General features: G+C 45.9%; 1 protein-coding gene and 2 long non-coding RNA genes across 8 annotated transcripts in view; 2 read left to right on the top strand and 1 right to left on the bottom strand.

Moving 5' to 3' along the window:
- TSHZ3 (teashirt zinc finger homeobox 3) overlaps positions 1-3,120 on the top strand; it is a 201,002-nt gene extending 197,882 nt beyond the window's left edge. For both annotated transcript variants that reach the window (NR_138035.2, NR_138036.2), the window contains one exon: positions 1,252-3,120. The gene's annotated coding sequence lies outside the window, so the exon portion shown is untranslated. The remainder of the gene's footprint in view (positions 1-1,251) is intronic.
- LOC105372358 (uncharacterized) lies at positions 6,209-24,759 on the bottom strand. The gene is made up of 4 exons (XR_935902.3): positions 24,136-24,759; positions 8,923-9,048; positions 6,427-6,597; positions 6,209-6,299 (listed from the first exon to the last, which is right to left on the bottom strand). It is a non-coding gene; the product is annotated as an uncharacterized LOC105372358 (long non-coding RNA).
- LOC105372356 (uncharacterized) overlaps positions 12,867-26,537 on the top strand; it is a 14,575-nt gene continuing 904 nt past the window's right edge. The window contains exons 1-6 of one of the 5 annotated variants that reach the window (XR_935899.3): positions 12,867-13,145; positions 21,063-21,168; positions 22,260-22,369; positions 22,551-22,648; positions 23,420-23,485; positions 24,686-26,411. This is a non-coding gene — a long non-coding RNA (uncharacterized LOC105372356). Of the gene's footprint in view, positions 13,146-20,979; positions 21,169-22,259; positions 22,370-22,550; positions 22,649-23,419; positions 23,486-24,685; positions 26,412-26,537 lie in introns of those variants that run through there. The other 4 variants (XR_001753892.1, XR_007067376.1, XR_001753895.1 and 1 more) reach the window with 4 other exon arrangements.

Here is a 26,537-nt window from a genome sequence, read left to right as displayed (position 1 = left end):
CAATATTCAAGTATTTGTTGGCTTGACAAATCCATTTATATATTTGATATTATAAAATATCCATCTGAATACTTGCACTGTGTGGTCCTAATCATGGCTTCATGACTTTGGGTCCATTGGGACTTTGAGTTGCTTCCATTCAAGGCATGGGTCTGGTGATGGTGCCTCAGATGCCTCTCCATTGGGTTCTGTAAGGTCCCTGGAGCTGCTGTTAACAGTGGAGGTGTTTCACAGCAAGGAAGCACAGAGGAAGTTAGGATCAGGAATGGACTGGGCACTGGACATGGTTAAATTCTGCATTTTTCCATGACAGGATAATCGTGAAGGTTCTACTCCATCCCTAATCAGGAACTCTAGCTCCCTGCAATGACACTGGCTCTTCCCAGGGCCCTAGAGCTCTGGCACTCCTGAACATCCTTGGTGAGGTCCAGCTGCTTGAATACTCAGTCATGTTACAATTATATTGTCTCAAAGCCATGAAAAGGCTGTGAACTCAAGAGGATGTCTTCCACTTACAGTATTTATTTATTCTTCTTCCTTTCTTTTCTAATCACCCCTGAAGCGGCAATCCTCCCACCTCACCCCTTCCACATATAGCATCTCCAACTCTGAATAGTCAGCGAAAAGGAAAAACGAGCTTTCTGGGATGGGCTGACAAAAAACAGAAGCACCTTCCACATAAACATGCACACACACACACACACACACACACGCTCACATATACACATGTTATTGCATGAGTTTGGTTCCTGCTTATTGGAATGGAAAGACACAGTAATATGGAACCATCCATCCCATTCCTGAGACCTAGGACATTCTAGGCAAAACCCAATGGTGCGATTTTTTTTCTTTTCTTTTTCTTTTTTTTTTAAGCAGAATTCTTCATCTGTAGAACTGTCTAGTGAGAAATTTACAGGGAGAATTGACTCTTTGTCTCTACAAAGCCATGAAGGAAAGAGTTTAAGTGATAATTGTATGCACAGTTCAAAATATTTTAAATGAACTTGTTCTCACAAAGAAATAAGTTATGGAGTTAACTTTTGTGTGTGTGTGAATAATTAAACTATTGTCACCACTTTAAATTATCATCCATTGTTAGCTTACATCATTAAATCTTACCTCTTTGCTAAAGAATAATGAAAAAATGCACTTAATTAATAGTTATTGCAAGCTCCAGGCCATTGATAACGCCAGTCTCAGCCTGAATTTCACGAGTGTATTTTTGTTCTTCCCTCTCTGTTGTTGTGCTAGGAAGAGAAGCCCTATGTTTCATCAGGGACGAAACTGATTCTCTTGCATCGAGACAGACTCTCCCTGAAAACTGAGTTCTTCCTGAACCATCCAATCACATCGAGATTTTGTTTCTGTGCAAAGGGGGATGCTGGGATCCAGACTTGAGCCTTTGTTCTCCTTATGGAATTTATGAAACATCCTCAGCTGCTGTCATATAGTAGAAGAAGCTCCTCCCTCAACCATCCTATGTGTACAACGTTTAAACAATTTCTTTGATAATTTTGGGGGTTGAAGACTGGGTGGCTAGGTCAGAAGAAAGGGGATCAGGCCAGGTCTCTCTACTGATCCCTGGAAGAAGATGGCTCATGTTAATTTCTTTGTTGTTTCTATTAAGGAGGTGATAGATTTTTTTTTCTGGATATTGTTAAAGAAGCTTGCCAGGCCTGTAAAGAATGTACAGCATTCTTCAGATGAAATAAGGCCAATCAGTGGAATAATGAGGAAAGTAATATCTCCCTAGAGAGGCTGATGGGGTTTTCATCAAATCAGCCAACCTTTTCCCGTCACTTACACTGCCATGCACTCCAAGCAGGCCCTGTCCGCCTGCCTCCTCTCTTTTCTCCTCTTCGTCAAAACTTCCCTGTGGTTATTACTGATAATGGAATACTTAGGGACCCAGGAAATGTATGTGCACTGGATACCTCCTCTTTCTGAAGAATAACTATTAACTCTTATTTCGTTTATGACTCAACTGCCCCTTACATCCCAGAAGATCTTCAGAAGCCAAGAAGAATAGAAGAGTTGCAGAGATATGGAAGGTCTTCTCCTTGGTGGCCTCTGTTGCCTTGAACTGAAGCTGAGATGGGCAGGCTCCTGATGTCCAGCTTAGATTCTGAGGATGAGCAGGGACAAGATACTAGGGTCCATCTATGGAGGGACAGACCACACCATGGTGGCCCAAGGGGACTTCGGTGGTACAGGTGTGCCCAACGCCCATTCCTTGCTTCAGAACTACAAAAAAAGATACCTGGAAACCAGGTGGCTAAATAGCCCTTTTACCAAACAGCAGGGCCCAATGGCAGAGAGGATTGAAGAGCTGGCCTGAAATATGTGCTGCAAAAAATCTGATTGTGTCTGCCCCGTGCGCTGTGGGCCATCCTGCCCGTAGTGGGGCAGCCATCTCCCTTGCAAGGGACTCCACTGAGCTTCTTAAAGCTGTCTTCCCAGTGGGCAGGGTATCCCCAAAGGCCAAATGAAAAGGGCAGATGCATGTCATGCGATGTGGCCAGAAGACACGTGGATGCACCAGGATATGGTACCCTGGCTGTCTTCTTGATGCACTGGTTGTCCTTTGGTTTTGAACCTCATGAAGACTTTGCCTAATTGTGCTAGAAGATGAGCAGGCACCCAGAGGTGCCCATCCCCCTTGCAGGCCATCAGCATCGCTTTGCCCACTGCAAGCTGAAAGAAGCAAGACAGAAAGAGCCCGGGACTGGCTCCCAGCACACGGGCCTCACGGGCTGACTTCAGAGCATGGAGGAGGCAGTCAGCAGATTCTCCTCTCAGCAACCCGGGCGTTTTCTCCACTGAGGCTGAGGGCCAGGGTCACAAAAGAAGGGGAAAAAAATCACATTTTGCATGCAAAAGTTTTCCAAATTAAACGAGATCCATTCACAGAAGTCCTCCCACCGTGCTCGGCGAATGATTCAAAGCCTCCACATGATTTCATCTGTGCAGACTCTAATCCACTTACTTAATGAAATACATAATTAACATATTATAATTGCAGTAAAGATGGTTTTGACAGAAATCATTTCCCGTATCTAATACTGTGGTAATTTAATCTGTTCCCCACTCCCTAACATGACCCTCTATGATTAAGTTTCATAAGAATTTTTTTGATTGATTGACTCATCTGACGGGCTGGGCCTTGCTGAAGCAGTGTCTGTCAGTTTCCGGGGCGGCATATGAAGTCGCGGCAGATGGCTGCGGCAGCTCTGTGCACTGTCTCCCTGTGTGGTCTCCCGGTCTCCAGCGCTCTTTTTCTTCCCTTCCCCTTCTTCTAAATGCCCTGATAATCCACCCTCGACTCGCCTGAAATGCCAAAGCCGGTGTGTTTCTAGCTTCCGTTCCTCTGCGGTGGGGATGGTTATTAAAGGCAGGGAAGCCCAGACCTACTTGGGCGGGCGGGCGGGCGGGTGGGCAGGCAGTGGGCGCCAGATGCCAGCCTTCCCTCGCACCTGGCTGTGCCCCTCCCGCCTCCACACGCCGAAGCCAGCCTGGCTGCCTGGGAGTTCCTCCGCCTTGTCCACAGGCCTGCCTGAACCCTGTGTGTTGGCCGAAGTAGATGGAAAAGGAGCTCCTCCTCCCTGCACCTCCCACCCTGCCGGCTGTGGCTCTGCTCTGGGGGTGGGGGTGCGTGGCAGACCTTGGAGTTGGGGCGTACCTTGACAGGCAAAGATGCACACTCTACCGGGATAACAGTGAATTCTGAGCTCCTGGATTGCTCCTAGGGTGCTGGATGGGGATTCTGGGACAGTCAGGAGTTTAGGGAGTGATGCTGAAGTTTTGGTCCCAGGGAAAAGTGCTCTCAATAAATAAAATGTAAGGTGGCCCTGGGGGTGGGGAGAAGCCCCTTGCTCACTCTTCCAAGAGCAGGCAGGGCAGAGAGGGTCCCTGCAAAGTGACTTAAAACGTAGCTCCAGCCAGGCACCATGGCTTGTGCCTGTAATCCTAGCACTTTGGGAGATCGGGGAGGGAAGATTGCTTGAGGCCAGGAGTTCAAGACCAACCTGGGCAACATAAAAGAGACACCCACCTCTACACAAACAAACAAAATTAGCTGGGCGTGGTGGCACATAGCCATAGTTCTAGCTCCTCACAAGGCTGAGGCAGAAGGATGGCTTGAGCTCAGGAGGTCAAGGCTGAAGTGAGCCACGATTGCACCACTGCACTCATCTGGGCAATAGAGTGAGACCCTGTCTCTAAGAATAATAAATAAAAAATAATCCTTAAGAAGTTGTTAGAAAGTAGCTCAGTATGAAGGTCTACATCTGCTAATTTCTAAAAGCTTCCTCAAGATTGCTGTTGTGTATTAAGCACCCACTGTATACCAGCCACTTGGGACTGGGGACTGTGTGTTCTATTTAAGAGATCAGAAAATGATTGCCAGTGTATTGGTGGTAGAACCAATCCCAGTGACCCTGCTAGAGATAATGGGGCACTCTTTAAGTGGGGGGCATTGAGATGGGCTTAGAGGAAGGGCTCTTTGAGAGGGCGGAGGCCTTCGAGGGGCCATCTGACCAAGGGGGAGAGGCCAGAGCAAAGGCTCAAGCAGACGAACTCACAAAGACTTCCTGTGTTGGGAAGGAGGACAGGCGTGGCAGTCGGGGATGCCTGGGTTCATAAGTTGCTCTGGCCCCTCCTTGCAGATCACCCCATCACTCCAGCCTCCAGCAGGTTCACCCCAGTCCCTCTGATGTATCCATTTCATTTCCCCCTGGACTGCAGTCTTTTATGGACTGCTTATATCTCTTTACTGGACAGCAGCTCCCCAGAATTCAGGGCTGGGTGACCCAGCATCCAGGAGATGTGTGCACAGTACTTGGAGGGTCTGCAGAATAGAACTTCCTCCTTCCCTTAAACCCCCACCCACCCACTGAGTGAAATGAGTGACCAGAGGAGGGACAGGGACCCCAGATCTCCCTCTCATAGTCCCCCTTTCTATGCCGAGAGCCCAGGCATCAGTTCAGAAGCCACAGTGGCCTGGAGTCAAATTAAGCTTGGGGTGTTTCATGGGGGCACCTGTCCCTTAGCTCTGAGGCCACCTCCAGGCTCCAGAGACCCCTACCCCAACCACTGAGCCCTGGCCATGTGCCCCCTCTTACAAGGCCCTAAGCACTTTAGTCTTTGTGAGCCTCTTCCTCCTCCGAAAAACAAAAACTCAAACTTGTATTTTACAACCACATGGATGTAATGACAAACCACATCTTTGATTCTAAAAATTTATTTTTTTCTTCCCATTTTATTTATTTATTTATTTATTGGTAAAGATGAGGTCTCCCTATATTGCCCAGGCTGATCTTGAGCTCCTGGCCTCAAGCAATCCTCCTGTCTTGGCCTCTCAGAATGCTGAGATTACAGGCCTTTGGGCCTGGCCTCTTCCTGTTTTAATTGGATGAAAACATTTTTTATTCAATGCCCTGAAAGCACCATGGGTTCTAGGTGCTGTGCCTCCTGGAGGAGTCCAACCTGCCACTCCCCAGGCCCAGTCCTGAGGTTGGAGTAAGCACTGGGCCTGCTGCTGTGTTCCCACTGGCCCCATGCTGGTCCCACACTGGCCCCACGCTGGCCAGGGTATGCAGGTGCTGAGACCCAAGGGCCACATGGGTGCGGTGTGGGTTGGGACACCCAGGAATCCTGCCATCCACCTGCCATTTGTGCCTCACTGACCCTCAGCCCCTGGAGCTCCCCTTGGTTGGTTGCTGGGGATTCTGGGAGAATTGAGAATTTAGGGAGTGAGGCTGAAGTTCCAGTCCCTGGGAAAAGTGCCTGCCAGAAGTAAAATGTAAGATGCAGACAGGCAGAAACAGCCCGGCCACACCAGCCCCCTACAGCTTCTTCCCTAGAGCAGGGTCCCCACGTAGAGAGAAAAGGGCATCCCGACTAAGTTTTAGGGCGAGGGTGGGAGTGATTGAGAATGTCTAGGACCACACAAGCGTGACGGCTCCCGAGGTCCCCGGCCCCAATTCTCTCAGCAAACCATGCAATCCCAGGAATTGCCTGGTGGCGCCTCTCCTCTTCTACAAGTGCACGCCCTGACAGCATCTTCCTTCCAGCCCAAGGTGCCCTGCCCTTCTCAGGGTTCCATGTGGCAAGAGCTAAGAGGGCCCCCAAGGAGCATCTTTTATATTCAATGTGATCCGCCTGGTGCCCTCATGGGACACCAGTCACCCAGCGAACACTCTGCTTGAGTGATTCACTCCAGGCCGTGGGCTTCCTCCAAGGAAACCGTGTACATCTCTCCAGGTGGGCGTGTCACCATCTTCATCACGAACTAGTGAGTCCTGTAAGGACAGGAACAGAAGCTGAGACATCCTTATTTCTCTGAATCATAAAACAGAGCCCAGGGGCCACAGTGCCCATAAAGCAGAGTGCTAGGTCCAGGAGTACAAAAGGAAAAGCAGCTTCTACCTGCCCAGTGGTAAAGACTTTCCTCTCTGCAGCCAAAGTGCTCTGAGCCCACACAAGCTATGGAGTCCTTATGTGACTGGAGCTGTCCAGAAGAGGCCAGGTCTGTCTCAGCAGGGGCAGCTTGGACATCAGACAGGGGCAAGGATGGGGTCGTGGCCAGGGAAAGGCAGACTGCAAAAAAGAAATCACAGAGCATGCATGTGCCTACCCGCTGTCCCCCGCATTTGAGCCACAGAGCCCAGGTCCCCTTGCAGCCGGCTTGGCGTGCAGGCCGGGGGAGGGGAGGCTCCGTGTGAGTGGCAAGTGTACATGAACACCACCACGTCAACTGCCAATATGTTATGAGGCCTTAGTAACAATCCGGAGTCTCCGGGGAGCGCTGCTGCAGTTCAAGTGCGCACCAGACAGAGAGAAAACAATTTCTGGTGCCAATAATGCAGCACAGATGAAAAATGTTTTAATATTTGAAGCTGCTTTATGGCAGAAGCGATGACAGTGATGGACTCAATGTCAGCTTTTTTTCCTTAAATGTCATCTTTCGTCTATGAGTTTTCCCTGCTCCAGAGGCATGCAAGCCTAATGCTGGCTCGTTGCAGCCATTGATCATTGATTTTGTTCTAAATGGAAAGCTTGCCAGAAGACTAGAAATTCTGGAATTTATTAGGATTTCTTTAAGAGGCACTTTAGCTCAACAGTTCTCATTACTGTCTTTACAATGTTACTTATTTTTCTTTTTATGTCATATGATTTGTAAAGGGTTGGTACTCAGAGAACAATATACGATTAAACCATTGTGCATGCTGGAGCTGCCGGCTTAGTAAAAAGGATTCTCGGGGGGCTAAATACATATTTGACGAGGAAACGGCAACACGGGGCTATTTTACCAGCAAAATCTGTATTTTGAAATTCACTGATAGGGTTTGGGCTAAATGGTGTTTCAATGGAGGTTTTGATTAAACAGAGTCACTTACAAATTCATACCTCTTAATTCCACACGGAAAGGGCTAAACATTTTTATATTCTGACACCGGGTGCATAAACATCCTGGAGTGGGTACCCCGTGTGGTAGCATGATGGAGAAGGGGCCCACCCAGTTTCCTTCTGGCTTTGGGTGGCTCAGGGAGGGTCTAAAAGCTCGTCACTCTATTTATTTATGGGACGTTACCTTGTGAACACCAAAGGAAAGAGGTGTGATGCTTTATTATGTATTAACATTTAACATACCCATATGCCCCTGTCTAGGCAATCCTTCTTCATTTGGCTGAAAAGAACCCATTTGCATCAGACAGTTGGCTAAATGTTTTTCTTCTCTGACGTGTTTCTATTGGCACAAGACTAGTTCAAACAGGTATGTTAGCTCTTGGCCGGGCTATCTGACATCCAGGCTTTATTACGGAGCAGAGTGCCCGGGGAATGTGAATTATAGTTAGTATCAGCCTTGGCCTCCTAAACACATCACTCAGTCTAGTTGATTATGGAATTTTCTCTGAAGCCGGGGCCTCAGGATCCCTCTCCTGAGTGGGGTTGCAGAAGGCCAGCGACCTATCGTACCTCCTGTGACCAAAGAGAAATCCAAGGGAAAGGGAATGGTCCAAAGAGGAGGTGCAGAGAGGCAGAGGTCCAGCCTCCCCAGGCCACATCCAGGGTGGGATTTACAGCCGCTGAATGGAAGAAAACATACTCTGACCAGTCCTCCACACAGGAAAACCATACAGCAGCTGAAAGGGATGTAAAAACTTTCTGGAAAATGAAATGAACAGCAGCAAACCTAGGCCAGAATTTGCAAATTGCATATTTGGGTGCAGCATGTTCTCGCATAGCCAGAATGAGACAAACAAAACTTGAGGCTGTGATCTCTAAAGGTCTGGCCTCACACACTCACTGCACCATGGGAGGCCTTATGCAGATGGACCGTGAACAGAGGAGCTGCTTGCAAATACTGCATGGCAAGCCCAGTGCTGTGGGGTGAAGAAAACTCCCTGCTCTTGACCTAGCAACCACGACTACAGTGACAACTACTATTAGTATTACCACAATACTACTATATTACAACCACAGCTGCTACGATTGCCATATAACAGGTAACTGTGGTCATCTCTTGCCCTAGACCACCAAAACACCCTTCTACACTACTACTCTGCTTCTCCTCTCCTCTCACGCCATTGTCCACCCAGCAGCCAGAATTCACCATTTGAAACATAAGACATCACTTGCTAGCTCAAAATTCATGTGACTTCCCATTTCACTTCTAGTAAAAGCCAGCAGCAATTTTTATGACCTCACAGCATCATATGATCACCTCTTCCTTTTCTGACCTCATCTCCTACTACTCCCACCAGACCACACGGGCCTTGCCTGTCTCCTTCTCCACGATCTTTGCAGTATTTCTTGGCTCCTCTGTGCACCAGTCTCCCCCACAGGGTCTTGTTGCTCCTGCCCTTGCTTCTGGGTTCTGCTTACATGCTACCTCTGCAGAGTTTTTCCCTGACCACCCACCTGAATCACAGGGGTCCTCACAGGTAGGTGATCTGTCCTCTTACTGTGTCCCAGGTTGAGTTCTTCAGAAGGAAGCAGACGCCAAGATGGAGTTTTGGTTGCAAGATGTTTCAGAGGGATCAACCCCTGTGTAGGGAAGAGGGTAGAAACATTGTGCAGAGGAAGAAATGCAACTGACGTGGGTGGCTTGGGAGTAAGAATCACTCATCAGCGTATCCCGCCGTGAGCCAAAATGGCCAGACGTTTACAGGCACCTTACTTAGTTCTCAGATGGAGGCTGCCCCAGGAAGGATGAGACCCTTGTCAAGGCAGCTCTGCTCTGCAGCTAACCACTTTCCCTGCAGTTGGGCAGCGAGTCCCTCCTTGCTGAAGATGGGTCTCCATCTCTGCAATGCCCTATTGACTTTTCCTCACTGTACTTACTATTATTTGAAATAATATGTGCATTTATTTGTGTGATTGCCGTCTCTCTCCAGGAAGGCAGCATGTTGTCTGTCCTTTTCCTGCTGCAACCCCCGAGGTTGGTAAGAGGGTAGCATGGAGTAGTTGCTTAGGAGCCACTTGTGGAATAAGATAATCTTATTCAACATCTTCATATCCTCCTGACGACCTTTATGAGGTCAGCATTATTATCCACATTTCACAGATGAGAAATTGGAAGTTTTAAAAGAAGCAATCAGACCGGTTTAAAACCTGACAACTGGAGAAGACAGAGCTCAGATCCTGGGCTTGACAGCTCTCGATGTGAGTTCTTAACCCCTACACCTCAATACCTGTGGAGTCCTTAAACGTTGGCAACCCAGGGGATGAGAAGAGTATGCTGGAGCACTGTCGCGTGGGCTGAGCCCTGTGGCAAGATACTGAGCATGCCCAGAACTGTATAGTCCAGGACAGGACAGAAGGTGGCATTTATGGTTGCTTTGCAGGGGGTGGCAGCCACTCTGAGGCTCAGGTAGGCCTGCTCCATTTCAGACCCATGAAGGAAGCTCTGGGAAACCCCACTTTCTTCTTTATCCAACTTCCTAAGTGAAGGCTCCTTTCTGGGGTCATGATTCATCCTGCCATGATGGCTCCCATTGGATCCACAAGAAATAGAGAAATGAATTGAATGAACGTTCCCACACTAGATTCTCCTACGCTACCAGGCCTGGCTCAGTTCAATACACTTCAACGAGATCCATTTAGTACATCCATTCTTTCCCTATATTTCGCCCAGATTTTCCTCCGGGGAATTCAGGCTCCCTTTTTCTAAGGGTCTTGGCGAGGCTGATAAAGAGAGGAAATGTTATCCAAGCAATACCAACTTCTCTGAATTTGAGTCCCGATCAGCAGGCAGCGGAGTTGGAATCCATCAATCCCAGGTTGCAACTGGAGTCAGAGTCCAATGCAGCCCGCCATGGCTCTGCTTTCAGATCCTTCCCCGACTGGTTCTTTTTCTTCTTTTGTTTTTGCTTTACATTTTCTGACTTACTCCATCTTCTTCTAAAAAAATCCCCCTGTGATAATGCCAGCCCGAGTTGCTTTCTGCAACTTGCAAACAATGAACCCTGAGCAATACACGTGCCCAGCTGGACCTGGAAAAAGGTCAGGGTTAAGACAGGAAAGGAAATGTTTCCTGACCTCCTAGGGTTTGGAGACATCCCCCTGAAACCTACTTAATTCATGTGTTTAATTCTTCCCTACATCTTTCATGAAATTTCTCCAATAGTTTGCCACAGAAATATAATGAAAGCACAAAACATAAAAATAGAAGAACAAAAGAGAAAATGAAGGGTAAAATAATTTCTGTGACCTAGCTCAGTTTTGGTTTGGAGGTTCCTGATAGTGAGAGGATCAAGGAAAATGTGATCAACATAACTTCCTCATCTTTGGAAAGGAGGCGGGAGTTTCCTTGTGGGGAAATCGAGTCACTCATATTAGGAAGTTGAGGGACTCACGCTGGGCCATTCAGATTTGAATACTGGCTCTGATGATACACACCACACATACTCTTGGACACAGTTGCAAACTGGTGGTTCATAGCTCAGATTTAACCCAAAGATGGACTTTCTTTTATATAGACAGTGTTTTATAAGTTGAAATTAATTTACGTCAAAATGGGAGAGTTCTTGTAAAGTCTGGACCTCCTATACCATTGACCCTCATAGTTCCGGTAGGATTATTACAGGTCTGTTTTCCTTATTTATATCATGCACATTTACAACATTTATGTGAGTCACCAAACCCCAACAGGGAACATGAGGAAGGAAGAAGCCAGCAGGACTCCCAAGAGTTGGGGATGTGGGGATTGGATCCGACCATGGAAAAGGGGTTGGATTGGGCTAGAGAAGGAAAGAGAAGCTCCAGGCAGAGGAGATCAAGTGAGCAAAGGTGCAGAAACTAGCACAGGCATGGCCTGGGGGATTCCTGGCACACTCTGAATCCCTGGGGCATTTGGGAGTCTGGTTGGTGCCAGGCAGATGGCCAGGGCCCACACATCCATCACCAAGGCCTGGCGTTGGTGCTGCCAGGCTTGAGTGGTGGTAGCAGCTGTGGCCTCCAGTCATGTAGAAGCTGATCTTGGAGTTTCCTGAGATCTCCCCCAGGCTGGGCTGCCTGACTTTTGAGGAAACTAGGGGAACCACAACAATGTGAGGCTGGCAACCTGGGCGGAGGCTGGGAGGGGAAGACGGTGTAAATGGTTTGTAGTCAAATGGTTTCCAAAGTCATCTCCATTGCTTAGAGAAGAGCTGTGAGTTCCAACCCTTAGCCTCTCAGAACCTCAGTTTCCTCACTTGGGAAAAAGAAATAATGGCACTTCCCTCATGTGGTTATCGGGAGAATTAAAGAAGTGCTTAGGGCAGAGCCTGAGATGTATTCAGCGCTCAGAAAGTACTAGTGAGAATGAAGTGGCAGTTGCCTTCAGACATCAGTCCAGGACAGCTTCCTGAGACCAGTAGCAAGCAAAGGCTTACAGCAGCTAAAAAGGCCAGGATTTCCTGCACAGAAAAGACTGAGGTCGGAGAAGAAAGTGCCTCTAATGGAGGTAAGAAGGCAGGAAACGTCCTTGGCCAGGAGGACGCTTCTTTCTGATTCCCATCCTGGTTTTCCTAGCCCTCCTCTCAGCAGGCTGGCTACATATGATTAATCATTTCCTCCCTTTTGATACGTAGACCTTCAAACACTCCAGCATGGAGCCTGTGTTTGCTGCCAGGAAGCCAATCACCCTTGAGACGCCAGCCCCTCCAGAAGAGGTCCCCACAGTTACAGGAGTTCTCTGCTGCAGGGCTCTGCCCAAAGCGAGCTCTGGGACTGGAGGCTGCAGGGCCTCAGAGTAGGAACATCCATTCCTTTACCCCTTCCTTGTCCAACACCTACCAGACACCTATTCTTTGTGCCAGGCCTGCGGGAGACTGCAGGCACAAATGATGCCATCTGTGCTCTTCAAAGCTTAAAGAGCCTTTGGAGTCCCCGTCCACCTCAGTCATCACAATGAGGAGACCTTCTTCAAGTCCTCAATACAAAATGCACCTAATTCAAGACTAATGTGTTCATAGTGATAAAATTTTTGCTGTTCACATATTTCCAAATTCCACATAAAAGCGAGGCTTTATTAATATTTTTATTTCAGTATTTTATATTTCCATAACTCAAGTTTTCATTAAGTGCTACCATGGTGTCGTTGTCATGACAGCTCCCTGTATTAGTCTTTTAGCTTCTGGAAGGCTGAAACTCTGCATAAGAGAACTAACTCAACACAGGGATGACAAAAATGAGTAACACGGTTGGAATCAGCTCATGACTTATGTACATTGTAATGTGGATTAGACATTAAAAATAGCAACGTGGCCTTGGGTTGCGCCTTCCAACCAGAAATATGACAACGCCTCCATCACTGCCTCTCTGCCTCAGTTTCTTTACTTTAAAATGAGGTCTGTAAGATGTCTTTTCATTCTAACATCTTGGAGTCTACGGGAAGGTTAGGAGCCCTGTTCCTGAGTTGGGGGCTGGGGAGAGCAGGGAGTATATGTCCTGGCTGAGGGCCGGATGTGCATGAATACCCAGGGCTCTGAAGGGAGGGGAATATGCCAGAAGGAGAGGTTGCTGGGCAGGACTAAAGCAGGATATTGGGTGATTGGTCTTAGACTTGTGAGGGAGGGAAGCAGATGAAAAATTGTCCGTGAAAGTGCAATTATGCAGAAAGGCAGAAAAAGGCCAGACAGAGTGGAAACCGTGTTGGAAGGGTAAGGGGTTTGATACTTTGAAACTTAACAAATGCATCCTGGGCCCCTTGGTGTCTATGTTTGGAGATGTTCCTGAACTCATAGTAAGGAGCATGCCCCCTGCCCCCATTGACTGGCTTCTGGAACATGTGGGGGTGTGTCTGTGGGAAGGTAGTAGGGCTGGCCAGGTCTCCTACAGCAGTCAGAGGGCCAGTTGTTAGCAGGGGACTTTCTGCAACAGCTCCTTATCCTGCGTGAGGAGCCAGTGCAGCAGGAGTTAGGACCACATGCTAACAGGCAAGGTGGTGGGAGAGTGGGAATAGCTCCGCCCTAGGGAAACAGAAATCCACAAGGGTCCTGAATCACTTCCCTTCAAGATGAATTCAGAAAGATCTGGTGACAGGCGAGACCCGACCAAGGTAAGTGTTTCTCAGAGATGTTCCTAAGTGTCTTCGATGAGGGAAGAGATGAACCAAAGGTTGCATTCCGTGGACCCCATTGAACAACCCAATCCATGTGGGCAGGGAGGGGCTTCCCTGTAATTAACAACCATTCCTTATCTATTAACCAATCCTGTTTGCTAACTGGATTGCTTGTGAAGGCCTCTTGTTTTAATTAGCATGTCTCAGATGAAGAGTAAACAAACGTTCTAACAAACTATTATGACATAAAGTTGATTTTTCAGTTACTCAACTGCTATGCCGTGGATATGGTGAATTTAGAATTAAATGCCTCTCTCAGAGGCTTTAATGATCTTAGTCAAGAATGTTTTGATTAAATTAAAGCTATTGAGAATGTGTTTTTTGAAAAGAGTGTGAACAAAACATCCAGGAGTGAGTCAGGTCCTGGGCCCTAGGCTCCTCAGTGTTCCAAGGCAGGTCTGGGAAGGGAGACAGTGGGACCCTCCATGTGGGGCAGAGGTGGGATGGCTTATGGCAAAGATGTTACACCTGCCGTTAATAATCTCTGAGTGGGGCCAGCACGGTGGCTCACGCCTGTAATCTTAGTGCTTTGGGAGTCTGAGGTGGGCAAATTACTTAAGTCCAGGAGTTTGATGCTACAGTGCCATGACTGTACCACTGCACTCTAGCCTGAGACAGAGTGAGACCCTGTTTGAAAAAAAAAAAAGAAAAAAGAAAAAAATCTCAGAGTGTTGAGGTCTCAGAAGTCTCTGTTAGGGTTCTCCAGAATCAGAGTGTCTAGAACGCTGGTGCCTTGATTGATCAAGGGGGTGCTCGCAGGGAGAATGTGAGGTTGTTCAGGAAGCAAAGGAGGGGTGGGAAAGAAGCCAGGCCAAGCTGTGGACCTAGCTGGAGTCTGGCCTCAGCTGATTCCACAGGGAGTTCTGGTACCTGAATGACACCACAGAGCCATCCTTCCTTAAGGCAAGTGGTCTGACCATTGCCACTCTCCACTAGTTAGTCATTGGATGGGGACCCCTCCTTAGGGAGGGCATATCATCCCAGCATTTGTAAGTAAGGAGGAGGGCAGTCCTCCAGAGGAGGGTGCAGGAGTGAGATTTTAGCAGCCTACCCTCATGGGTGCACACACTAGCTGGCAAGGGACTCTGGGTGGGGTCCCAGAGTCTCTACAGCGGTTGGCCACACCTGGAGACAAAGTCCTTTGGTGAACACCCTTTGCAGTTACACACAATTTTATCTTTCCCAAAGACCTGCTGTCATGGTCTTCTCCCAAAGGAACTGTCTACAGGTAGGACCCTGAGGTCCAGAGAGCTTAAGCAGTGTTCTGAGGCCACTGAACAGAGCAGAGCAAGGTGGGCCTTGTGCCAGTGGCTGTGTCTGTACCCATCGGGCCAGTCATGCTGCCTCCACAGAGCAGCCACTCAGCAGATGTGACTGGGCCCCGGGGTTGTTCAGGCTGGAGGACAAGCCTGCTCAAGTCAGGGGGAGTTTGGTGGCCTAAGGGAGTCCAGAACTGTGAGTTTATGGTCATCCTTCTGATGGTGGAAAAACCTGCAGGTTTGGAGCGTGAACAATTTGAACCATTTATCTCCCAAAGCTCTCTTTTTTGAAAAGAAAAAAAAAAGTTGAGTAAAGTGAGTTAAGTGTTATCCATCACAGCTTCTATACTGGTCAGGGCTCTTTGGAGAAACAGAAGGAATGGTATTCACAGATAGACAGACAGGTAAATAGAAATAAATAAAGATAGATAGATAATAGATAGATAGATAGGTAGATAGATAGATAGATAGATAGACAGACAGACAGACAGATAGATTAAGAGGGGATTTATTATGGGAATCAGCTCACATGATTCTGGAGGCCAAGAAGTCCCACCACCTGCTGTCTGCAAGCTGGAGGTCCCAGAAAGCCAGTGTAATTCAGTCCAAGTCCAAAGGCCTGAGAACCAGGAGAGCTGATACTGTAAGTCCTGAAACCAGAAGGCCTGAGAACCAGGAGCTCTGATGTGCAAGCATCAGGGGAAGCTAGTACATCAGATGTACAAAGCAGGAGAAGACGATGGACGTCCCAGCTGGAGAAGGGAGAGAATCCACCCGTCCTCCACCTTTTTGTTCTATTCTGACCCTCAATGGATTGGATGGTGACAGCTCACATTGGTCAATGCAAATCTACTTAACTTAGCCTATTGGTTCAAATGCCAGTCTCTTTAGAAACACCCTCACAGACACACCCAGAAGTAATATGTTATCAGCTATGTGGGCATCACTTAGCCCAATCAAGTTGATACACATCACTGTGTACCTTCTGTGCTGAAGTCCTGATAGGAACACACTCCACCTGACCTCAAAGCCTTCCTACAAGCTGCTCCCTCCTTCAGGAAAGGTCTTCACCCTTCTCTTTCTTTCTCACCTCCTCCCCTCTTCCCCAGCTTTTCACACAGTAAACACTTTTCAGTTCTATTCAAATATCGCCTGACTTTCCTTGGGCATCACCTGAGGTCTACGCAGCATCCACTGCTAAACGCTCACCTTGCTCCAGATCTTGTTTTCTTCCCAGCAGTTGGCATTCTTTACCAGGAAATTGATTTTTTTTCCCATAAGACTTTTTTTCTTTTTTAGAGTCAGGATCTTGCTCTGTTGCTCAGGCTTGAGTGTGGTGGTGCAATCCAAGCTCACTGCAGCCTTATCTCCTGAGCTCAAGCAATCATTCTGCCTCAGCCTCCTGAGTAGCTGTAACTACAGGCAGACCACCATGTCTGGCTTGGATTTTTTAAAAGTGCAAATTTATTAAGTTACAATTGGCTTACAATAACTATACATATTTAAGATATATGATTTGATAAGTTTTGACATATGCATCCGTGAAACCACCACAATCAATAAATAAACATATCGTTACCTCCAGAAGTTTCCTCATGCCCCTTCATAATCCCTCCCTCCCAGTCCTCCCCAATCCCTCATCCCCAGGCAACCAATGATCCTATCACTAGATTCGTGTGAATTTTCTAGAATTTTATATAAACAGAATATACAGTATGTCCTTCCTTTGGTATAGCTTCTTTCATTCAGCATAATTATTTTAAGAGTCATTCATGTTGTTGCATATTTCAATAGTTCATTCTTCTTTATTTCTGAGTAGCATTCCATTGTACAGATTTACTGTAATTTGTTTATTCATTCATCTGTTGGTGGACATTTGAATTGCTTCCAATATGGGGCTGTTATAGATGAAGCTGCCATGCACGTTCATGTATACATCTTTGCATGGACTTGTATTTCCTCTTGGCTGATAATGCCTACAGGTGGAACAGCTGGATCATATGGCAGAGGTATGCTTAATTTCTTAAGAAACTGCCAAGCTGTTTTGCCAAGTGGGTGAATATTTTACATTTCTGCCATGAGTGTATGAGAGTTCCGGTTTCTCCACAGCTTGGGTATGCTCAGTCTTTGTTTATTTTAGTCATTCTGATGGGTGTGAAGTAGTATCTCCTGGCTTTGCTGTGCATGTCTCTAATGACTAATGATGTTGAGCATCTTTTCATGTGCCTATTGGCCATCTATGTGTCCTCTCTAGTGAAATGTCTGTTCAAATATTTTGTCTATTTTTAATGGGTTGTTTGTTTTTTTATTGTAAAGTTTTGAAAATTGTTTATACATTTTGAATACAAGTCTTTTATCAGATACATGTCTTGCAGAAATTTTCTATTAACCTGTGGCTTGTCTTTTCATTCTCTTAACAGTGCATGTTTTGAAAAACAAAAATTTCTAAGAGCTCTAAGTCATCAGTTTGCTCTGTGGATTGTGCTTTGCTGTTGTATGAAAGACCTTTAGGCTTAATCTAAGGACAAAGTTTTTCTTCTATGTGTTTTGGAAATGTTATAGTTTTGCATTTTACATTAATTTGGCATCTGATATGAGGTATGGATTCAAATGTATTTTTTTGTATATGAATATACAATTGTATACAGTTGAATACAAATGAATTGTTCCAACTTAATTTGTTGAAAAAACTATTCTTCCTTCAGTGCATTGCTTTTGGTGCTTTGTAAAAGTTAGTTGTCTATATGTGCATAGCTTTATTTCTGAACTCTCTATTCTGTTCTGTTCATCTATTTGTTTACCTTTATGACAATATCATGTTGTTTGGATTACTGTAGCTTTATAATCATTATTAAAATCAGGTAAGATCCACTTTCCAGCTTTCATTTCTTTTTTGGAGTTGTTTTGGCTATTCCAGGTCTTTCGTATTTCTATAAGAATTTCAGAATCAGCTTTCAATTTCTACACATAGCATGCTAAGATTTTGATTGAGATAGGATTAAATCAACTTGGGAGAATTTACATCTTATTAACATTGAGTTTTTCAACCTGTGAACAAGGTCTGTATATTTCCATTTATTCAGGGCTCCTTTCACGTATCTCACAATATTTTGTTGTCCGTGTGCATGTCTTTCACATCTTTTGTCAGATTTACTCCTAAGTATTTTATGTTTTTGATGCTATTGTGGAAGATATGTTTAAAATAATGAGTTTTGATTGTTCATTGCTAATATATAGAAATGCAATTCTTTTTTTATGTCAGTCTTGTGTTCTGCATTCTTGCAAAATTTACCTATTAGTTCTATTAGCTTTTTGTTGATTTCATCAGATTTACTATATCAGTGATCTTATCATCTGTTGAATAAAGACAGTTCTACTTCTTTCTTTCCAACCTGGATGCCCACCTGATTTTAGACTCCATGAGTGCATCATACACAGCTCCCCATGCTGTCCTGGAACTTGGCAGGGACTTGTCACCTGGTGGGCTTATATTTGCTGATAGCAGAGACAAGAAGCACACTCTTTTCTCACTCCTCCCAGGCAAGTTTTGATAACTTAAATGTATCTACCTGACACCAAAACAAGCAGTTGTGAAGTGAAAATTTCAGAAAATAAGCATGATCATTTGGCATGATAAAAACAAACATCCATTTAGCTCTCTGTCATTGGAACCAATTTAATTATCTATCATCTATCCATCTAGCTCTCTGGTTCAGAATTCAGTAAAAACAGTACATGTGTGTAAATGCGTTGCCTCAGCCCAGAGATGTGTCTTAAAAATGCACTCTCGTCTTAAAAATGCACTCATGCTTGAGTTTCCAAGTTTCATTCCCGCTTCTCTTGTGGCCTATTCTCATTCTGTAGACCCAGGAAGCATTTTTGTTCTACAAGGTCAGGGAGTCATTCAAGGCATATTTGAGGAGCTCTTACTATGTGCCAGTCCATTTTGTTCACTGTGGTTTCTCAGGACCTGACATAAATGTCCTGCTCTCAGGGAGTTCACTTCCTTGTAGGGGAGATGGAGGGATAATAACAAATCTATATACAGTCTATGTTCCTCTGTGTATGCATATCCACATTTGCACCTTCATCTAATGGGGGGTAATGACAGGGCCTAGGAAAAGAGCATCACATGTGAACATTCTAGGTTGCTCAGGCTAAAAGCTTTGATCATCCTTGGTTCTTCTTTTTCCCCTAAGCCCACATCAAGGATCATTTGCTAAGATGGGGAAGACTGAGGAAAGATCAGGTTTGAGAAAAGAAAACAAGAGTTAGGTTTTATATATGGCAAGGCTCAGATGCCTAAGAGATGTCCAAAGAGGTAGTCGGTCATCAGGATCTGATATTTAGAAGAAAGCTTGAAGTTGGGCAGGAAATTTGCAAGTAGCCAGTACATGAACATTATGGAGTGATATGAGGTGACTTAGAATATGCATATAGAAGAAGAAAAGACAAGAGTGCCCTGTGGCCCTGTAGTATTAAGAGGTTGGGAAGAGGCTAGGTTCAGTTGTCCATACTATAATCCTAGGACTTTGGGAGGCTGAGGCAGGAGGATCACTTGAGGCCAGAAGCTTGAGACCAACATAGGCAACATAGCAAGACCCCATCTCCACTAAAATAAAAATTAAAAAAACAGTCAAACATGGTGGTATGTTGCTATAGTCCCAGCTACTCAGGAGGATGAGGCAATATGATTGCTTGAGCCCAGGAGTTCGAGGCTGCAGCGAGCCGTGATCACCCCACTGCACTTCAGCCTGGGTGACAGAGTGAGACCCTGCCTCTTAAAAAAAAAAAAGTAAATTAAATTAAAACAAAAATAAAAGGTTGGTAGGAGAAAAAGGAAGAAGCAGCAAAGGAAGTTCAGGATTGACCAGTGGTGTAGGAGGCTAGGTCTGTCCTCTAAGCCACATGAGAATGAGCTTTAAGGAGGGCATCATCAATTCTTTCAAATACTGTTGAGAGACGGAGTAAGATACAGGCAGAGAAGTGATCATTAGATTTGGCAATATGGCAGTCATTGGGAACCCTGATGAGAGTAGGTTGGGGGTGTAGGTGGGATGAAAGTTTGTCTGGAACCTAAGGACTGACTAAGTCTTGGAAAGTTTAAGAGCTGTGGATCACACAGTACAAATACTTCACAGTTCCAAACTGTAAAATGGGTGCTGTCGGCTTGGAACCTGATGGAATATAATCATCTATCTCATAGCGGTTAATGATCTACCCTACTTATGAATGGCTCTATTTCAATGAGGTTATTTCACCTTCCCACAGCTTTTACAAGAAAAACTAAGAGCAATAAAGGCTATTTACATTATTTTCTTACACAAGGAGGGAAGGATGAAAATAAAAGCTAACATTTCAGAGTACTTTTACTTAACTGTTAACTTATTTAATCCTCTTAACTCCCAGGAGGTAAACTCTTATCGCCCCATCTTGCAGGCTTGGAAGCTGAAGCTCAAAGACATTGTGTGACTTGCAGGCTAAGACTGGAATTCCAATATCTACCCATGGTGTCAGATCCTAAATCAAGTGGCGACTCTGCCAGGGAGGGAAAACATGAAGAGAAATGTCACTTGGCAGCACAACTCGCATTCCTGGATGCCTACATAATTCTGCTCCAAGAAGACCTGGATAGATCTTCTTTAAAAATCAGCTGGGCGAAGTGGCTCACACTTGTAATCCCAGCACTTTGGGAGGCTAAGGCAGGTGGATCACCTGAGGTCAAGAGTTTGAGACCAGCCTGGCCAACATGGGGAAACCCCCATCTCTACTAAATATATATATTTATATATATATAACATATATAAATTTATATTTAAATATATATTTGTTTATAATATATAATATATTATTAATATTATATATTATTATATATTATACTATATATATAATTATATATTCTATAGTATATATAATAATATATAATATTATGTATATATGGCCGGTGTGGTGGCATGTGCCTGTAGTCCCAGCTACTCAGGAGGCTGAGGCAAGAGAATCGCTTGAACCCAGGAGGTGGAGGTTGCGATGAACCAAAATTACGTCACTGCACTCCATCCTAGGCGACAGAGTGAGCCTTTGTCTCAAAAAAATAAAAATAATAATAATGGCAAATTCACATTTTCTGTATTTATTTATGCTTTGGGCTTAAAAGGGTCAGTGGCCTAATTTAACATTCGATTTTTGTTTTTACACAGCAAAGACTTATTGCAGGAATACTGTATGTTTGGCTCAAAGCTAGGTCCTGGAAACAATCTGAAAAAAATCCTCTACATCCTGAGATGTCTGCTGTCTAAATCTTGGGTAACTATGTAAATTATTTCAAGGGAAGTGCTTTTCATTGTTGGTGATACGGGGTCTCAAAGCTAGATACCAAACTGTGAAGGTCACATCTCCAGAGACTTTCAGCACTAGTCAGTAAACTTTTCCTGTAAAGAGCCAAATAGTAAATATTTTAGACTTTGTAGGCTGTACAGTCTCCATCACAACTGCTCAACTCTGCTGTTTGGAGCCATAAATACATAAACAAATGAGCATGGTCGTGTTCCAATAAAACTTTATGTATGGGCACTGACATGTGAATTTAATGTAATTTTTACATGCTATAAAATATTGAACTTCTTTTTTTTTTTTTCCTCTCAACCATCGTAAAATGTAAAAAAAAACATTCTTAGCTCATAGGCCATCTCAAAACACGTGGCAGATCTGATTTGGCCAGTGGGCTGTGTTTTCTGACCCTGTTTTCTAGGCTAACAATTATCAAGGGCTGGGCTTAGAAATGTAGACCAATGGTGGTAGAAACTGTGACCCAGTGAGTCAGGAAGGCCTAAGCAGTAATGAATGGACCTCCTTGTCCAGAAAGGATGGCTCTCAATTGTGACTTAGGGTTGTCAGCTTTGCTATAAGTTTCAGTGTGTACAGATGATCTCATTTCATATTTAATATTGGAGCAAATCCAAGTTCCTTTTAGCTTGTACATTCTCCAATTCCATAACCATTAGGACTCTTTCATATGCAAGTGACAAAAACTTAAGTCAATTGACTCAAGGGAAGAAAAGGAAATGTATCAGCTGACATAAGTGGAAAGTACAATGGCATGCATGGCTTCTGGTATGGCGCTGGAGGTTGATACTAAAGCAAAATTAACAGAGATCAGTCTCCCACTTTCTTCGTCTCTTGGTTCTGATCTCTGCTTTGGTTTCATGGCCAGCTCTGGCCTTACCCTGTTCTCACAGTTAGCACTCATACTGGACAGAGGGTGGCTATGGTTTGAATGTGTTCCCTCTAAAATTCTGATGTTTCCAATGTGATAGTGTTGAGAAGTGGGGTCTTCATGAGGTGATTAGGCCATGAGGGCTCCTCCCTCACAAATTGATTAGGGCCTTTATCCAAAGGGCTTGCAGAGTGGGTTCACTCTTCCGCTCTTCTGCCATGTGAGGATGCAGTAAGATGACCCTCAGCAGATGCTGGTGCCTTGATCTTGGACTTCCCAGTCTCCAGAACTGTGAGAAATAAATTTCTGTTCTTTATAAATTACCCAGTCCCTCATATACTGTTATAGCAGCACAAAACAGATGAAGGCATGGGTTTCTTATTTTCAACAGTGCCAACAAAATCCCTGGTTGCACTGTCGTTGACCTGTCCCAATGACATATGTATCTCTGAACCCGATCACTGTGCCTTAGGGGATGAAATGCTGTGATGGGTTGCACGCCCACATCACCACTCTGCTGTCGGGAGAAGAGGAAGGCACGTTCCTCCCAAACACAGGGACTGAAAGCAGGTAAGGAGTGGGGCCCCCCAAAAATTGCAGCATTCTCTCCAAAAGAAAGTAGAGTGAATACAGGAGAGGTGAAAAAGAAACAGCAGACACCCACTGGAAATGCCTTCTTGAGAGGGCATGTGATGCACTTGCCACTAGATTCTGAAATTGGATGTGACCCACAGTTTATCTGAGAAGGCAGCGGGGCATCACGTGTGTGGACTTCATCTGGTTGCTCTTGAGACAGAGAACCGACTGAGAAGCTGTGGTGGTCCTTGGATTTTTAAATCTGACATCCTGGCACACCATCAAAGGAAACCAGGGGACCACCCTCAGGTGGCCAGTGGCCCCTGGTGCTAAGTAAAATACAGGGAAAAATAACACAAACACGCATCTGATTGTGCCACCATTTCATAGCAGAAAGACCATTTTCACACCCTAAAGGTAGCTAGGATGTACTCTCAGAATAAAGGACTCCTGCACAAAGAAGGACAGTTGGCTACCGTCACATGGGTTGGGATCCCCATGAAGCAGGCTCTGAGATGGAGATTATTGTGCAGAATGTTTAGACGGGAATGTTCTTGTGATCAACACTGTAGGGAAAGGAAGGAGGCGGGCTGAGCTGAGGGAGGAGTTGGGCTGCAGTGTAGTCTCAAGAAGGTCTAAGCCAAAGCTGTAGGGAGCTCTAGAGATGGAGTGGCCTTCAGAGTTGTCCTGAGACAAGCCAGGGTGTGGGTTGTCTTAGTTCATTGGGGGTGCAATAACGCAGTACCATAAACTTATTTCTTACAGTTCTGAAGGCTGAAGTCCAAGACCAGGGTGGCAGCATGGTCAGGTCCTGGCGAGGGCCATTTTCCGGTTTGTATACTGTCCATTTCTCGTTACATCCTCATTTGGTGGGAAGACAGCAAAAAAGCTCTGAGGGTCTCTTCTAAGGACACTAATCCCATTAATGAGGGCTCCATGCTCATGACCTAATCATCTCCCAAAGGCCCCATTTTCTAATACCATCTGATATGGTTTTGCTGTGTCCCCACCCAAATCTCATCTTGAATTGTAGCTCCCATAATTCCCATGTGTTGTGGGAGGGGCCCAGTGGGAGATAATTGAATCATGGGGGTGGTTTCCCCCATACTGTTTTCATGGTAGTGAAGAAGTCCCAGGAGATCTGACGGTTTTATAAGGGGAAACCCCTTTCATTTGGCTCTCATTCTGTCTTGCCTGCCACCATGTGAGACATGCTTTTCCCCTTCCACCATGATTGTGAGGCCTCCCCAGCCACATGGAACTGTGAGTTCATTATATCTCGTTTTCTTTATAAATTACCCAGTCTCGGGTATGTCCTTATTAGTGGCATGAAAACAGACTAGTACACCACCACAGTGAGTTAGGGTTTCAGCATATGAATTTGGGGAGTACAGTAACATCGAGTCTACATAACAATGACTTTCTAGTGGGGTTGGAAAGAGCTACCCCATGGGTGGGACATGTCGGGGAGGTTATCTTACCTCTGAGAATCTGAGATTCAGGGTGTGTGACTGCTGTATGTATCTTATCTTGAACTGGATTGAAAGTATCAGAAAACTTGCACGGCCAAGTTGAAGATTCTCACCAAGACTCATGTGAGACTTCCCTCTGGATGACCAGAGAGCTGAAAGATGCAGGCTTGACCAGGTACAAGGCCCATGGGGAAGGAAGGGCAAAGCAGTTTCTGCTGTGAAAGAGTTCACCCATAAGCTCAGCTGGAGTCATGAGTCTTCTAAGGACGAAGGAAAGGGCCAGGCAAGGCTAATATGGTGGATCCGTCAACACAGAGCAATGTGCAGAGCCCGGCAGGATTTGTGCAGGTTGAGACAGATGGGAGGAGAAAAGGCAGTCTAGGAGACCAAAGGAGGCTTCTCCAGCTCCGGAGGCTCAGGCATGCCAGAAAGAGGCACTCTCTGGCTCCCCTTGGACGACCCACTGTGTACAAAGCACGCCGTCATTCGCCATTTTTCAGTATCCTTAGGGCAGCCCTGAGAGTCACATCAAGCGTGTGTTATGATTCCCATTTCATAGATGAGAAAACTGAAGCTCAGAGACAGAAAACGAGGTCTTCAGACTCCAGGTCCAGAGTGTCATCCCCCACCAGGTAGGACTGCTTTCTTTAGGGCCCTGGACTCAAAAGAGCATCTGCAGTCGGCCTTTTGGACCACACAGGACCAGAGAGCCTTGGTGAAGAGTAGGTGGTTAGGGCTGTCAGGAGCACTTTTTGGTGGGCCAGAAAAGCAGGGACAAGCACAGGTGGACCAAGGAGCTGCACTCCGAGGCCTTGGGCCAAACCTGAGGGTACTGAGAAAAAGAGAGGCCTTTGAGAAGACAGAGGTGCTCGAATTCCCCAGGTTTGCTCCTTAATGGAGCATGCGAGGGTCTTTCTCACAGCCAGACCCAACCTAGTACCGATGTGTGAAGACACCAAGTACAGAAAGCCCTTCAGTCACCAGAGATGGCCTGACTCCGAGCTGAGGGCCAGGCTGCCAGGAAAGCCATCTGCTCTCCCGGGAGTCCAGTGACTCAGAGATCCAGTCTGGAAGCCCTGCTGTGGGGGCACAAGAGACCATTCGCCCCAACATTCCCGGCCTCTCTACGGGGCTGGTGAGTGCAAGCAGGAGGGAGTGACAGTATTGGTGAGGAATGAAATTGCAGCGGCTGTGTGATGCTGTAAATATTTGGTTTGAAACAGCAGAGACATTCAAGATAAAAGTTAAATAGAAATAAAAGCAGTCAGATGTTTATTATATGTTGCCATAAAATTCAAGAGCAGCCTAAAAAGGCAGATCAGGATTTGTTTAACAAATAAGAGAGGAGAATGAAGGAGGTAGAGGTTTGACTGTGGAAGGGTGTATTTTGCTGGAATCTGGACAGTGATAGAAGCAAAGTGAGAATGACTCGGCCCTTAGACTGGGAGAATGAGTTGTCCTTAGGTGGCTGAGAACTGGGGGATTTCCCCAGGTCTCAAGGCCTTAAAGGGACCCACAAGTCCCCTGGCTGTCTGCATTTCCTGCCCGTTGCAGGGGGCAAGCCCCAAGGGGAGAACAGGGTGGAAGATCTGGGGGAGCTAAATTCTGGGAGCGCAGGCAATGCGGAAGCACGGTGCACACAAGGATGTCCGGGGAGGGGCAATGCTGGTACTGTGAGGCTGATGGAGCCTTTTTTTCAGTCCTGCTCCCTCTCCATAGCCAGCTCCTCAGGCCACCATCAGATTTTAGGCAGGGCTCAAATGAGGAACTGGTCCATAGTAACACAAAATAACCCAGCTAGAAGGGCCCTTTACAGAGCTCTGTACTTGTCTAGGGGGTGGCAAGCTTTTTCTGTAAAGGGCTAGCCAGCAAATATTCTCCATTTTCTGAGTCATTCTGTCTCTGTTGCAACCGCTTTGCTCTTGCAGCATGACAGCCCCCATACACGATCTGTAAATAAATGGACAAGGCTGGGTTCCAATAAAACTTTATTTAAAAAAGCAGGCTGGCCAGGCACAGTGGCTCACGCCTGTAATCCCAGCACTTTGGGAGGCCGAGGCAGGTGGATCACCTGAGGTCAGGAGTTCAAGACCAGCCTGGCCAACATGGTGAAAACCCATCTCTATTAAAAATACAAAAATTAGCCGGGTGTGGTGGCAGGCATCTGCAATCTCAGCTACTCAGGAGGCTGAGGCAGGAGAATCACTTGAACCCGGGAGGTGGAGGTTCTAGTGAGCCGAGATTGTGCTATTTGCACTCTAGCCTGGGTGACAGAGCGAGACTCCATCTCCAAAAAAAAAAAAAAGCTATAGCATATCAACCCCTGTTCTAATCTAGTCTTCATTTTATAGATAGGGAGACTGAAGTTCACAGAAGCAGAGAAAATTTTCCAAAGTCTCCCAGCCAATGAG

The sequence above is a fragment of the Homo sapiens genome, chromosome 19 (assembly GCF_000001405.40).
Source record: "Homo sapiens chromosome 19, GRCh38.p14 Primary Assembly".
In the NCBI taxonomy this organism is placed as follows: Eukaryota; Metazoa; Chordata; class Mammalia; order Primates; family Hominidae; genus Homo; species Homo sapiens.
Note: the sequence above shows the minus strand (reverse complement) of the source record. Positions and strands in the feature narration are given on the sequence as shown.